Source organism: Homo sapiens, chromosome 8, assembly GCF_000001405.40.
Source record: "Homo sapiens chromosome 8, GRCh38.p14 Primary Assembly".
NCBI classification, from domain to species: domain Eukaryota; kingdom Metazoa; phylum Chordata; class Mammalia; order Primates; family Hominidae; genus Homo; species Homo sapiens.
In genome coordinates this window covers 126,752,738-126,767,376 of record NC_000008.11, presented here as the reverse complement: position 1 = coordinate 126,767,376, position 14,639 = coordinate 126,752,738, and the positions used below count along the sequence as shown (strand labels likewise).

General features: G+C 38.2%; 2 long non-coding RNA genes across 6 annotated transcripts in view; one reads left to right on the top strand and one right to left on the bottom strand.

Annotated features, from left to right (window-relative positions):
- LOC105375753 (uncharacterized) overlaps positions 1–582 on the top strand; it is an 80,166-nt gene extending 79,584 nt beyond the window's left edge. Inside the window, exon 5 of one of the 2 annotated variants that reach the window (XR_928636.3) lies at positions 393–582. This is a non-coding gene — a long non-coding RNA (uncharacterized LOC105375753). The remainder of the gene's footprint in view (positions 1–392) is intronic. The other variant, XR_928638.3, reaches the window with a different exon arrangement.
- LOC105375751 (uncharacterized) overlaps positions 1–14,639 on the bottom strand; it is a 463,156-nt gene that overhangs the window by 253,655 nt on the left and 194,862 nt on the right. The window lies entirely within an intron of this gene.

The following is a 14,639-nucleotide window of genomic DNA, read 5'->3' as shown; positions in this document are numbered from 1 at the left end:
AATATTTTCTCCATCAACAAAACTCAAAGTGGAATAAGCATTATCATTCCCATCTTAACATGTGAAAACTGATGTTCATAAAAGTCACGTGACTCATCCAAGGCCACACAGTTCGTGAGTGGCAGAGCTGAACAGCACACAGGTTGTCTGAGCCCTACTCTTACTCCAGTACTCATCACACTGCATGAGGGTGCCTTTCATAATAATCTGCTAATTTTTTTTTACATTGCAAAAGTGCTATTGATACCATTAGAATTAGTCTCACTTTCAAAAGGCACAGTTATTTCAGGTAATGTTATAAAGAAATATGGTAATTGAAATGGTTGAATTCTTTTAGCAATGAGTCATCAGCGATCAAGCCTGACAAATCAGTTGTTCTTTTTTAATCACAGCCTTCTTGCCGTAATCAGAGGGATGACCTACTTAACCATGGAAATATTGGCTTCATTCGAGTTAACTTTGCTGGTAATATGCACGTATGTGTTTAATTCCATTTTTGATCCAAACTGCCACAATTGTATCTGTCTATAGTAGGTTCTCTAAGAAGAATGTAAAATCCGTTTTTGTCTTGCTTGCCCGAAAGTGTTATCATTTTAATTTCATCAAAGTATCCCTGGTCTTCAGGGATTCAGAATTGGAGCAATTCTTGGTTATACCTCATCATTTTACAGATGTCTCTTTTATAACAGTCTTCTCATCTTTGGCAGAGGTTTCACAACTTTCTCCAACCTTCGGGATGGAAATTTAGACAAATTTCCTACAAACTCTTAGGAGCTACATGGCTTAAGAGAAAGGCTGAATGTGAAAATGTTTCTGATGCCTCGCTTAGAGTTTCCAATTCCCTCTTGGAATCTTTGTGCAAATGACCCAGGAAAGGCATGCTTTTCTTTAACATGAAAAATGATCTTTCTGGTTTTGAGAAACTTTATTTATTTTGACTTTTATTTTAAAATTTAGATATTAGGATAACATATAAAAATTCTTTCATTGCAGGTACACGAGTTCAATGTCTCAAAAAAAGAATCCCTGTTTGTAATCCTATTCTTTTCTTACAGCCAGTGTTCCATCTTCATGACCCTGTTTCTAGCCTCTATCCAAACATCAGCTGTTCTGTTTGTGTGTGTATGTGTGTGTGGGTTTCATTTGCACTATACTTCAATATAAAAATTATGTGATCATAATGTTATCATGAAATAATATATTAATTTAAATACCACTAACTTGGAATTTATGCTCTTTGATACGTGAGTTGCAATTCTTATTTGAAATTATAAAGGTAAAAGAGAGTGAGGTATTAAAATTATAATAAGTTTCAAAATATTTTTAAAAACTTTATCATCAATCCTTTGACTACAAAAACATGTAAGTAACAGATGATTCTTATCAATTTATGAAAACTATTTTTAAAATCTTCTGAGCATTAGTCTGTAAGTTGACACATTGAATTATTGTTATATTATGCCAAAACATAAAACTGGGTGCCTATGTAATACAAATCACACTGTAAGAAGTAGCTTTCCCTCAAGTTCTGAATTAATGAAGTTTACACATGAGCTTTTCTAGTAGTTTTTGAAAATTTGATTCAAAAAATATTTAGCAGATACAGGTTTTATGCTATTGTTCATACGTTTATATGCAATCTAAGTAAGCTGCAACATAGATTCATACTACATATTTATAAACTGATAAAATCTATTTGAGCTTTACAATCTATTGATATAACCTAGTCTAACCCAGGGCTTCTCAACCTCGGTGGTATGGACATGGTGGTCTGGATAATCTTTTCTGTTGATGGGGCTGTCCCGTGCATTGCAGGATGTTTAGCAACATCTCTGACCTGTACACACAAATTGCTAGTACCAACTCCACCCGCTCTGTGACAACCGAAAATTTCTCCAGACAGGACCAAATGTCTCCTGGTGGAAAAATATCCCCTAGTTAAGAGACATAGGGCTATTCAATAAATGGGGCTCACAAAGCATTTCTTTATTTTAAAAAAAATTAACTGTTTAGTCTAACTCATTAGCTCAGCTGTTTAGAGTGCAGTACTAATGAGTTCAAGGTCAGAAGATTGATCCTTATGAGGCTTAACACATTCATTCAACCGGCACTGAATTGAGTGGTCTGCAATTGCTTTGCACCATGCAAGGTCCAGAGAGAGATGCCAGAAAAACATAAAAAAGCAGCCAGCGCTCTCCAGGAGTTTGTGATCCTACATGGTGAATGAAAAACAAAACCAAACAAAGGCCAAATTAATGGTAGAGTCAGTCAGAGGATGATTGGTGTGACAGCAGGGATAGAGAAAAGCTGTGTAAACACTGAAGCATGAAAAGGATGTGGTCCGGCAGAGAAGAAACAGGGTTGGCTCCTTCCAGAAAGGACAATTATTTATAGTAAAAATTTAGTGTTCGCTAAGCAGCAGGCTAAATACTTTGTTATATCCTAGAAATGTTCTATATATGACAGAAGTTAAGTTCTGTCACTAGAATCTTGTCACTAGAATCTGTCACAGACCTTGGCTACTTGAAAGATTTAAACCCTCCCTTTGCCTATTTCACTGGATGGCCAAGATACTTATCCTCTTTGCATATTCATTCTCTATGTATCAAATAGCAATAAATATAAGATACAGCAGTTTTTTGGCCAAAAACAGACAATAAATGAAAACCAATTAGTATAGTCCCTATACAAATAATAAATAATAGTGAGTATGTTTTAGTCTCCTTATTTATATTATTGTTTTTCATTTATGTGGGCATTTAAACCCAGGCCTGTCTGCCTTTGAGCTGTTCCCTCTATGATTTGCTATCTTCCTAGAGTGTGGGGGTCCCTGGTGGAATGCAGTGGGAGCTCTGTGACCTCCCTGGTGAAAGACAGTGGGCTATATAATAAGGAGCTTGCACTATTCACCAGCAACAGGAGCTACTTTGGGATTTGGAGCATTGCTCACCTAAGACCGAAGAAAAAGCCAGTGTAGCTGGATACAACAAAAGAAAGAAAGGAAATGTGGAATTCCTCATCTGAAGGGGAAAACGTAGCAGGAACCAAATCTGGCACACTTTCCTAGGTGACAATAAAGAACTTGAATTTTATCTTGAGGTCAATGGGATGCTATGGAAGGATTTCCAACAGAGCAGTGTCAAAATCAAATTTGCCCTCTGAAAAGATCACCCTAGCTATTTGAAGGACAGAGAATAAATTGGATTATGACAAGCCTAGAAACAGCAAAGTCAATGGAAAGGCTAAGTGACAAATAATAGTGGCCTGGGCTTGGCTGGTAATAGAAAGTAGAAACAAGTAGATGACATTTGAAGTAGATGGAAGCAAAAGAAGATGCTTCTGTTGCTAGAATTGATAGGAAGTTGTATTCGCCTGTTTTCAAACTGCTATAAAGAACTACCTGAGACCGGGCAATTTATGAAGATAGGAGGTTTAATTAACTCATAATTCTGCAGGCTGTACAGGAAGCATGGTTGGGGAGGCCTCAGGAAAATTACAATCATTGCAGAAGGGCAAAAGGGAAGCAAGTACCTTCTTCACATGGCAGAGTAGGAGAGAGAGAGAAGGGTGAAGTGCAACACACTTTTAAACAACCAGATCTCATGAGAACAGCAAGAGGGATATCCACCCCCATGATCCAGTCACCTCCCACCAGGTCTCTCCCCCAACATTAGGAAGTACAATTTCATATGAGATGTGGGTGGAGACACAGAGCCAAATCATATCTGAAGTCCTTCAGCTAAGTAAGTGGCGAAATACAGGTGTTACTTTTTACCCTACTTTACAGCTACCTTCTCTTCTAACCTAGATAGCTATAAGCCACCAAACACTGAGAGAGTAAGAATATCTACAAGTTAGTGTTACATCCCAAATATCAGTAAGAGAACTCAAATTTTGTGGTCTTTGGATTTTTGCTGAGAATAGTAAATGTCTATGGAAAGAATGAATGGATGATATTGGGTTAATTATGTCCATCTCTGTTTATAAAGAAAAACATGGCTTGCCTGGAGTGTGACATTTACTTTCATGTACTCCATTAGCATTTAGCATTTACCAGGTTATCTGTTTCTTTCAGGAAAACTTCGAATAAGTGTATGTTTTAAAAATATACTGAGGCTGGGTGTAGTAGCTCACGTCTGTAATCCCAGCACTTTGGGAGGCTGAGGCAGGCGGATCACAAGGTCAGGAGTTCGAGACCAGCCTGAGCAACATGGAGAAACCCTGTCTCTACTAAAAATACAAAAATTAGCCGGACATGGTGGCACACGCCTGTAATCCCAGCTACTCAGGAGGTTGAGGCAGGAGAATCTCTTGAACTCAGGAAGCGGAGGCTGCAGTGAGCTGAGATCGTGCCACCGCACTCCAGCATGGGTGACAGAGCGAGACTCCATCTCAAAAAAAAAAAAAATACTGAGATACTCTTGGTTTGACATCTAGTACACTGCTATCATAAAATAAAATGGCAGCTGCTGAATACTTTCCTATAAGCACATCTTTCATTAACTTTTAATGGATTTGCTCATATATCCAACAAATGTTTTGTGCTAGTACTCTATGCCATGTGTTGCACTCAATGCTGGTCATAAAATGAAAACAAGATAGACTACTATGCTCAATCAGTTTATGGTCTAGAGAGGATTCAAACGAGTAAACAATCAATTTCAAAGAAGTCAACAATTGGTTTGAAGGAGTAAGTATAAGGTACTGGAGGAGGAGCTAATACAGAAGTACAAACCTGAGGATAATTAGGACTAGTCTGGAAATGGTGAATCAGGAAGAAAAATATTCCATGTGGAGGTCAGAATATATGCAAATGTCCAGAGATGAATGTTAAAATGTCATGTTGCAAATATCTTAGAATGGCTGGAATGGAGAACGTTGCAAGTGGTGAACCCCCAGGTACAAAATTACAAAGGAATCTACAGTCCATGCTAAATTGTTGGCTTGACTCATCTAAATGGCAAGAAGGAGTTATGAAAGAATTTTAGGCTGGGGATTAACATGATCAAGTATGACATTTAGAAAGACCCCTTTGACTATAGGGGTCTTCCTGAGTAGGAGTAGAGAGATCAAGTAAAAAAGACCAGGAAAATTAATTGAAAGTTGTACATGTTATTGTGGACTGGAAATTATGCATTCAAAGAAAACTGAGTATGAATGGATAGGAGTAGACAGATTTTTAAGTTTATTTAGTTGACAGAATGGACAGGTCTTGATGATTGATTGGATGTGATGGGTAAGTTGCAAAAGATGTCAAAGACAATGCCCAGGTTTCTGACTGAAGACGCAAAATGCATGATGGTGCCATGAAGTTTGCGAATATGAGAGAAATGGTTAGAAATGATAAAAGGCATGATAATAAGTTGTACTTTGGACATGTTAAGTTTCAACTCTCTACAGGTTATTTAAGTAGAGATTGCCACCAGGTAGCTGGATTCACTATATTCACAGGAGAGCTCTGTGCCAGACTCGGAGATTTTGTTGGCACCAGCATACTCTGCAGTAAGAATTTTGATTGGATATGGCCCATGAACAGAGGAGTCAGGGAAATGTGACAGCATTGTGTGAATTAGCCCTTCACAGCAATCCTGGGGCTGTTATAATTTCTCTCTATAATCAATGATACGCTAAGCAAACAGTGTCCGAAGGGTCACTTCAGTGACTTTGTGGCATTAATCTATAATCAGGCTTCCACTAATTCCTATTTACCATGATTCAAATCTGCAGGCAATATGCCAATCAATGTCTATATATCGAATGCCCCATATATGTTCAGAACAACTATCTGAACCCTCTTCAGACTTCTGGATATGGTGACCAGAAGTAGGAGGAATTTGCAGAATAAAATACAGTCCTAGACATAAAGGAGCAGCAAGTATAAATTTTTTAAATTCAAGATGGTTTGGTACCAAATAGCAAGGGTGGTACAGAAACCAAGAAACAATGTGAGGGTCAAGAGCCTGGCGAAACAAGATAGAACAAGTGCAAAGTCAGGAGGACAGGAGCAGCCCAAGGTGATTAAAGTGCTTAAACATCTATAGCTTGACTTCATCGTTTATCATGTACATAGTACTTGGATGGGCCAAATTAGCTTAAAAAGTACAAGGTGTGACAGACAGTATTTTGCATATTTATTTTAGTTTGATTTCTTCACAATTCTAGAGCCTTATTCTAGCCACTTCGAGTTAAGGTAGCATTTTTCACTTGTGGACATTCCCCCATTTTCTAAATCTTTTATAAAAGAATTCCTGAAATACGCCTGTAATCCCAGCACTTTGGGAGGCCGAGGCGGGCGGATCACGAGATCGGGAGATCGAGACCATCCTGGCTAGCATGGTGAAACCCCGTCTCTACTAGAAATACAAAAAAATTAGCCCGGAGTTGTGGCGGGCGCCTGTGGTCCCAGCTACTCGGGAAGCTGAGGCAGGAGAATGGCGTGAACTCGGGAGGCGGAGCTTGTAGTGAGCCGAGATCGCACCGCTGCACTGCAGCCTGGGCGACAGAGCAAGACTCCTTCACACAAAAAAAAAAATCCTTAAATAATTATAAGTAGATACTACTTATGAAGACTTACTATGTGTCACTGAATGGGCATTTTGTATGCTTTGTTTCATTTAATACTCACAACAATCTTACAGAGTAAGTTTTGATTTTATTATTGAGCTTGTTTTACAGTTGAAGAGAGTAAGTCTTTGAGAAATGTATTCATTTTCTCATTTGAAAATATTTATTAAATGTTCCTGGGTGGTTATCCTCACTAGAACAGATAAATAAATTATATGTATTCGTGGCAGAATACATACTATATATATATATATTTATATATTTATATATATTTCATATATACTATGAAATAATGAAAATGAATAAATTACTGCTACATGCAATAATACAGAAAAATCTTGCAAATGTTGTTATGAGTAAAAAAAGTTTTATCAAAAATAATACATACTGTATGAGTCTACTCTTTTAAAGTTCCAAACAAGGTAAAATGAATCAGTGATAGCAGGAAACAGCATAATGATTACCACTGGGAAGGAAGGAAGGCTGTGACTGGAAGGGGGCATGAGGAGGGTCCCAGGGTGCTGCTTATATACTATTCTTTGATCTGGGTGATGGTTGCATGTACCTGTTCACTTTGTAAAGATTCATCAAGCTGTCCAGCTATGATTTGTGCACATCTCTACATGTATTATATTTCAATTATAAATATTTTCTTGGAGACATAGAGAAAAGTTTTGGGGGGCAAATAGTCCACAGACTGCTAATTTTAGATATTAAGATGGTAGTATTAACCTGCTATTTACTATTTATTGCAGCTGTAGAGAAGAAAAATGTTTTATGAGAATGCATCAGGCTTTGTAAATATGCATAAAATAAGAACCTCTTGGTGAAGAGTGGGTCTAATAGTGAAAGACTTTTATAGTTCAGAACATGGTCTGAGAGAATTGTTTATTACATGCCTACTGTGTATCGGTGATATGGTTTGGATGTGTGTCCCCTCCAAATCTTGTGTTGAAATATGCTGGAGGTAGGGACAGTGGGAGGCATGTGGTGGATCCCTCATGAATGGCTTGGTACCCTCCCCAAGGTAACGAGTGGTGATAAGTTCATGCAAGATCTGGTTGTTAAAAAGAGTGGGATCTCCCCCATCTCTCTCTTGCTCTCTCTCTCTCTCTGGACATGTGATGTGCCTGCTCCCCCTTCACCTTCTGCCATGACTGTAAGCTTCCTGAGACCTCACCAGAAGTAGATGCCAGCAGTATGCTTCCTGTACAGCCTGCAGAACCATAAGCCAAAATAAACCTCTTCTTTATAAATCGCCCATTCTCAGGTGTTCCTTTATAGTAATGCAAGATGGATTAATGTAACTTAAGCCTTGTGTGATTTACATGCATAATCAGCTCTTTAAGTCCATTTCCCCCATTTTTAAGTGAGGAGCTGGAGATTCCTGTTATAACTGGAAAGAACAACAAAATTCAAATGCTGCCTGCAAGACTTTTTTTATTCTACCTTTGCTTTCCTCTGAAAACTTGCTGTAGTTTACACTCTGCCTCCAGGAACCCAGCCTTCTTTCAGCTGACCAGTCACCATTATGCTGACCCCAGGGTTTTTTTATATGCTGTTTCATTAGTCTGAACTGCTAGTCTCTCTTTCCATTTGTTATCTCCTGTTTCCCCTTTAGATCTCAGCTCAAGGACACTCCTTAGGGAAGCTTTCCCTGCTTTCCCAATACCAGTCAGTTCCCTTGTTCATGGTTTAAAGGACCATGTCCCTTTCCTGACAAGTCTTGAGCTCAGGATATAATTACACCTTGATTAGCAGGATTAATCATTTAAAATTTTTCATCCTTAGTAAATCATAAACACTGTAGGAGGACCTACCATGTATCTCTTTGTAGACATCAGCATGCACTATAGTATACACATACTACCATACCATGGGGGCCAAGCACAGACCTGGCACATGGTAAACATCCCATAAATATTTATCAAATAAATGAAAAAGGCCATTTCCTCAGGATTACACAGCTAGTTCATATATGTGTACACTATATCATCAAAACCCTACAACAACTGAGTTACTTTTAATTATTGTAAGTTATATAAATGAGGGCAGGAAAAATTAAGTTATTAATTTTTATCTAAGATCCAACAGCTCATTGATTAGTACCAAAACTACAGCTCAACATTCCTAGTTCTATGTCTACTTTCTTTTAAAAATCTTAATGTTGTGTGACTCTCTCTGTGTCTTCCCCTAATGACCTCCATTCTGATAATTTATATAAATGCCCAGATAGTAAGTCCATATGCTAACATTAATATAGGCTCAATGAACTAACCAGAAAAATAATTCACCATAAAAATATAATTTAATATACTAAAACCATAACTAAAAATATTACTTCGATCTGGCAACTGCACTTATCATCTCTGCAGAGTGCAGGTTTCTTTATATCCTGCATATTTCCCTTCAAAGCAAATTGAGAACTGCTATTGAATTGTGCCAGAAAGAATTGTAGCTGTGTTGAACATTCTACAAACATTCCTTTAAAAGCATGTATCATCTTGACATTTTATTTAGATATATCTTTTAAAGAAGCAATTGCCTCTATGCTGTAAGCTGATGGAAAGCAACTGTAGTTTCTCTTTAAAATCTTCTGGGCCCCCAGAGGGGACTGACAATTCAAATCACAGCTATACAGCAACCGCTTATGTGTATGGCTTCCCTGTGGCAAAGTTCTTAGTTAAGCCGATGGATCATATTATTCCAAGTCAGTTGATACCTTTTTGAATGCTATTGCCTGTGTTTCTACAACTAAATTTAAAGATGAGCCTTTTCAGTCGTATTATACAGATTCTCATTTTTTTCTTGATTATTTCTGCTCTTTCTTTTTGCCTTTGTCTTTATGTTCCTACATTTTCAGGTACAGAATATGAGCAGAAAGTCCCAAAGCTAATAAATGAAAAATGCGTTCCATGGGCTCAAAATGCAATAATGCTCTTGTGTTTTCTGGAGGTTTTTTTCCCTCATTAATCCAGCTTTGATCTTCAAGCAATAATCCACTGAAGAATGTAGCTGAATATGGACCACATCGATTTATCTTTCTTTACTCCCTAAAGTTAACTGATCACCTCTAAAGTCAGAATACCATTCACCCAAAACTCTACTGAGAGAAGGGCAATATATTTATTATCACTTAGCCAAAAGACTTTAAAAAGAAGCTGCCCTTTGGAAAAAAAAAAAAAAAAAAAGGAACATAAGAGAAGATTTGAAATAATGATAACGAGAAGTTTTTTGCTTTGGACTTGGAATATAAACTGATGAGCAAGAGCAAAAAAAATAAGTAAAAATGGTCATGAACATTTCTGTGAATTTCAGGGAACAGGGCAGGCAGTTTAATGAGAAGTTAGGAGCACAGGCTACCTTCATTGGTTTGTTCATTTATTAGTCAGTGATAGAGAGTCACACTAGTTAAAAGGACAGACACCACAGCCACACATACTGGAACCAAATCCCAACTCCACCACTGGCAAGCTGTGAAGTCTTCAGCAAGTGACTTAACATCTCTGGCTTCAGTTTACTCATCTGTAAAATGGACGTGCTAATGGTATCTATTTCATAAGGTTGCTAGGAAAGTTTAATGAGTTAACATAGATAAGATAATTAAAACCCTGCTTGGCACATCATGAGTCCAATATAAGTTTTGCTTTTCTTATTTTGTTTTGTTTTGTACATCTGCTGTATTCCAATTCCCACACTAGCTACTAAGTTTTGCAAAGGGAACAAAACAAACAATATTTCTCATTTTGTAATCCACCATAAATACTATAGTGGAATATAGAGTTGTGAGAGAAAATAATCGGGCTCTGATTTACTGAATTTGATTTACTGAATGGTGAGAAAATAACCTCTCTGGAAGAGGTGTTGCTGGATCTGAAAACTGAAGTTTGAGGGGACAAAGAAGAGAGACAAAATGCCCAATCAGAGGAAACAGCACGTGCAGGGCCCTGGTTAAACAGCATTTGCCCCTTTTGAAGAACTGATGGAAGGTTTATGTGTCAGGGACACAGTGAGGTTGGTGAAGTGTGGGAGATGAGGCTGGAGGCACATAGAGGGGCCAGGCCATTAGGGCCACATAGAACATGTTTTGTTTAAGAACAATGAGAAGATGTTAAACGATTTTATGCAGAAGAAGGATATAACCAGATTTTTAAAAATTAATAGACTCCATTTTTGAGCAATTTTGGTTTACAGGAAAATTGCACAGAAAGTACAGAGAATTTCCGTATACCTCTTCTCCTTTGACCTATACACAGCTTCCCCTATTATTAACATCTTGCTTTAGTGTGGTGTATTTGTTATAGTTGATAAACCATTACTGTTACAATATTATCAACTGAGGTCTTTATGTTAGGGTTCATTTTTATGTTGTACGGTTCCATGGGTTTTGGCAAATACATAATTTCATCTATCTGCCATTATAGTATCATACAGAATCATTTCACCACTGAATACAATTTTTACTAAAAAAGGAAAAAAAAAGTCTACCTTTGCAAGTATATGGAAAATGTAGTTGGGGTAAGGGTGGTGATAAGAAACACCTTAAGGCCGGGCGCGGTGGCTCACACCTGTAATCCCAGCACTTTGGGAAGCCGAGGTGGGTGATTTGTCTGAGCTCAGGAGTTCGAGAACAGCCTGGGCAACATGGTGAAATCCTGTCTCTACTAAAATACAAATAATTAGCCAGTCGTGGTGTTGCCCATCTGTAATCCCAGCTGCTGTGGAGGCGGAAGCATGAGAATTGCTTGAACCTGGGAGACAGATGTTGCAGTGAGCCAAGATGGCACCATTGCACTCCAGCCTGGGTGACAGACTCTGTCACCAATAAAAAGAAAAGAAGAAACACCTTGAGTGGCTACTGCTGCAATCTTGACAAGGGATGGTGGGTGGTAACTTAGACTAGGATAGAGGCATGGAAATCAGAAGACTGGATATATTCAGGATAGATTTTTAGTAATAGATTTCAGGGTGGATATATTAATCATGATAGACTAACGTCTCTACATATGAACCTTAAAATCTCAGTAGCTTCTCATAAGAGAAATGTATTTCCGGCTTAATAATAGAAAAATAAAATAGAAATGTATTTCCAACGTACATTAGCAATGTGGGTTTGCCTTAGGATGTCATCTAGGGAACCATGCCACCTTGCAGCACAGTCCAACCTCGGGACCTTACGCTCACTCCTCAAGCCCTCTCCACTGATATAGAGAGAGATCGGAAGTGTGTAGGACCGTGGGAGATACACATCACCTCCACCCACATTCTGTTGGCCAAGATTCAGTCTTATGGTCTTTAATTGACAGGAATTTGGGAAAATGTAGCCCAGTTGTGGGTCTAGGAGAAATGGTATGTGGAGTTTGAGAAACACTTAGCAGTCTCTACATAGGGTAAAGGAGAGGTTGGTGTCAACAATGAGTTCTGAGTTTCTGATTTGAGCTACTTGATTTACATAGGTGCTGAGATTAAGATTAGAGAAGAATCAGAACTGGAGGAGAGGAGGTATAGAGATGAGAGTTTGGTTTTGTATCCCGGATCTTATCTTTGACTGTTTCCTTAGTCAATATATTTAATATTTTATGTTTTGGTTTCCTCACCTATAACATAGAGGTAAAAATGGCCCTCACCTTGTAGTGTTATAAAGACTTCATGAAATAATCCATGCAAAGCACTTAGCACGGTACTTGATGCATTCAAAAACTCTTAATTGCTGTCATTATCATCATCATTTTCATCATTCTTGAGCATTATATTGGATATAGGGAGATATATGATACAAAATCTACCCTTTTCTTCCTGAAATATGGAACTTCCTGGTATCTTTTTGTCTCACAGATCGCCCCTTGATATGATAGACCATACAAAGACACTTAAGCCTAAAGAGCTCACTTGTAAATTTTACTAAATTCATTGTCATTTTGAGTGGCGCAGCTTCAGAGTTTTATGCTACCTCTCATGACATAAATGGGAGAACATTAGTGGAAGGAACTAAGGGCATGAGAAATGTGCCTTTGGAGGAGGGTTATGACTATGACTTCACCCAACAAGAATTCTGCAACAGGATCTGTGTGCCAATAATTTATTTATTCACTTTCACACTACTTTGCTCTCAACATTTCTGATCTCACCTATACTCCAAGGCCCAGATAAAAAATCAAACCCTTTGATGGATAGTTATTGATTTTTTGTAGCCATTCTGCAAATAATACTGTTTTTTTTGTTTTTTGTTTTTTTGTTTTTGTCTAGAAATAGAATCCACTTTCCTATTTGAAAAATGCCCCTCACTCTCAGTTCATGAGCTGTAGAGCACAGCATGAAACCAAGCCTAAGGGAAGAAAGGTAGTCTATCGTTCCATCATAGTAATTCCCAAGGGGTGGACATTTGACCAAATTGGCCAAATTCCTGGTGAATCTTAGGATTTGTCTGAAACCCAGCTGGAAACATGTTTCTCCTTTTTGCCGAACTTGCCCCTGGGAGGATATTGGAGTGAGCAGAGAGATTGTCTGAGAATAGAGCCATCACAGAGGAAGCAAAGCTGAAAAGGAAGAGAGAAACACCGAGAGGCTGATCTCGGTGTATGACAACCGGATCAAAATATTCCTGAAGCTACAACTCTTCATGGAATATTAATAGTGAAAGTCCATATCTTCTATTTTTTTCTTAAGCCCTTTTTCATTCAGTTCTCTGTCGCTAGTAACTAAAGAGCCTTAACTGACACATGCATGCTCCATGAAGCCTTTCCAGATCCTCTTAAATGGAGTGGATTTCTCTCTCCTCTTACAGGATTTCTTTCTGTATATTCTTATAGCATTTGGTCCTGTGTCTGTCATGTGGAATTTAGCACTTTCTATCATGCATCACAATTACTTCTGTATCTATCTAATCCCCCCCACTAGAATTTAATATTTTTAAGAAACTTAATCATTTCTAATTTGTCTCTAAATTCCCCAACATCCATAATTCTTATTAAAAGACCAGGAAATGGTGTAGGGATAGAAGAATGTGGACTATATCATTGTTGATTTTTATGGCAACGGATCCCAAATTGAAATCTTAGAACCCCTGAGCAGGTGTGATTCATTGAGAGCTCCTCAAATGTATGTGCACACTTGCCGGGTGCAGTGGCTCCCACTTACATTCCCAGAACTTTGGGAGGCTGAGGTGGGTTGATCACTTGGGGTCAGGAGTTTGAGAGCAGCCTGGCCAACATAGCGGAACCTTGTTTCTACTAAAAATACAAAAATTAGCCAGGAGTGGTGGCACACACCTGTAATCCCAGCTACTCGAGTGGCTGAGGCACGATAATTACTTGAACCCGGGAGGCAGAGGTTGCAGTCAGCCAAGATTCTATCACTTCATTCCAACCTGGGTGACAGAGTGAGACTCTGTCTCAAAAAAAAAAAAAAAAAGAAAGAAAGAAAAAGAAACTAAAAATTATGTGCACACTAAGCATTACATAACAAATTAAATCATTAATGTGCCTCACACAAAAATGCTGTAAAAACAATTATATACTCTATTGTTTGCTAATCTCTTATAATTAACATACGCGATTTCATTTTAATTCTATTACTAAATTCATGACACATATTTTTCAACATATATTCTCTCAATGAGCTCATACCCAGCTAGACACATACCTCAACTGAGGCCTTACAATAAGCCAGACACTGTGCTAAGTAAGCACTTTAGACACATCACATCACATTAACCTCTTTGCACGTGCCACTCTTTCACAAAGTCTTCTGTGGGTTCCCTCTGCCTATAGCAGTTCTTCCCAAACTTTACATCAAAGCACTAGTAGAAAAGTCAGAATTTCATATGGCTCACTGTGGTCAAGGGACAAAGATGCTTGCAAACTAGAGGCGACCTGCAATGAGGTGTGACTCTTCCAGGTCCTAACCAGTCACCCTGAAGACTAAGGGGATGGTTAACTTGGCACAACTGAAATATGTTCACAACACTGCAGTATGTCATAGGCTAGCGAATAATTTCCAGGTCCAAAGCAATGAATACAACATCTTCAAGATCACATGCCTGCCAATCCTTCAGCCCCAACACACACAGACACACA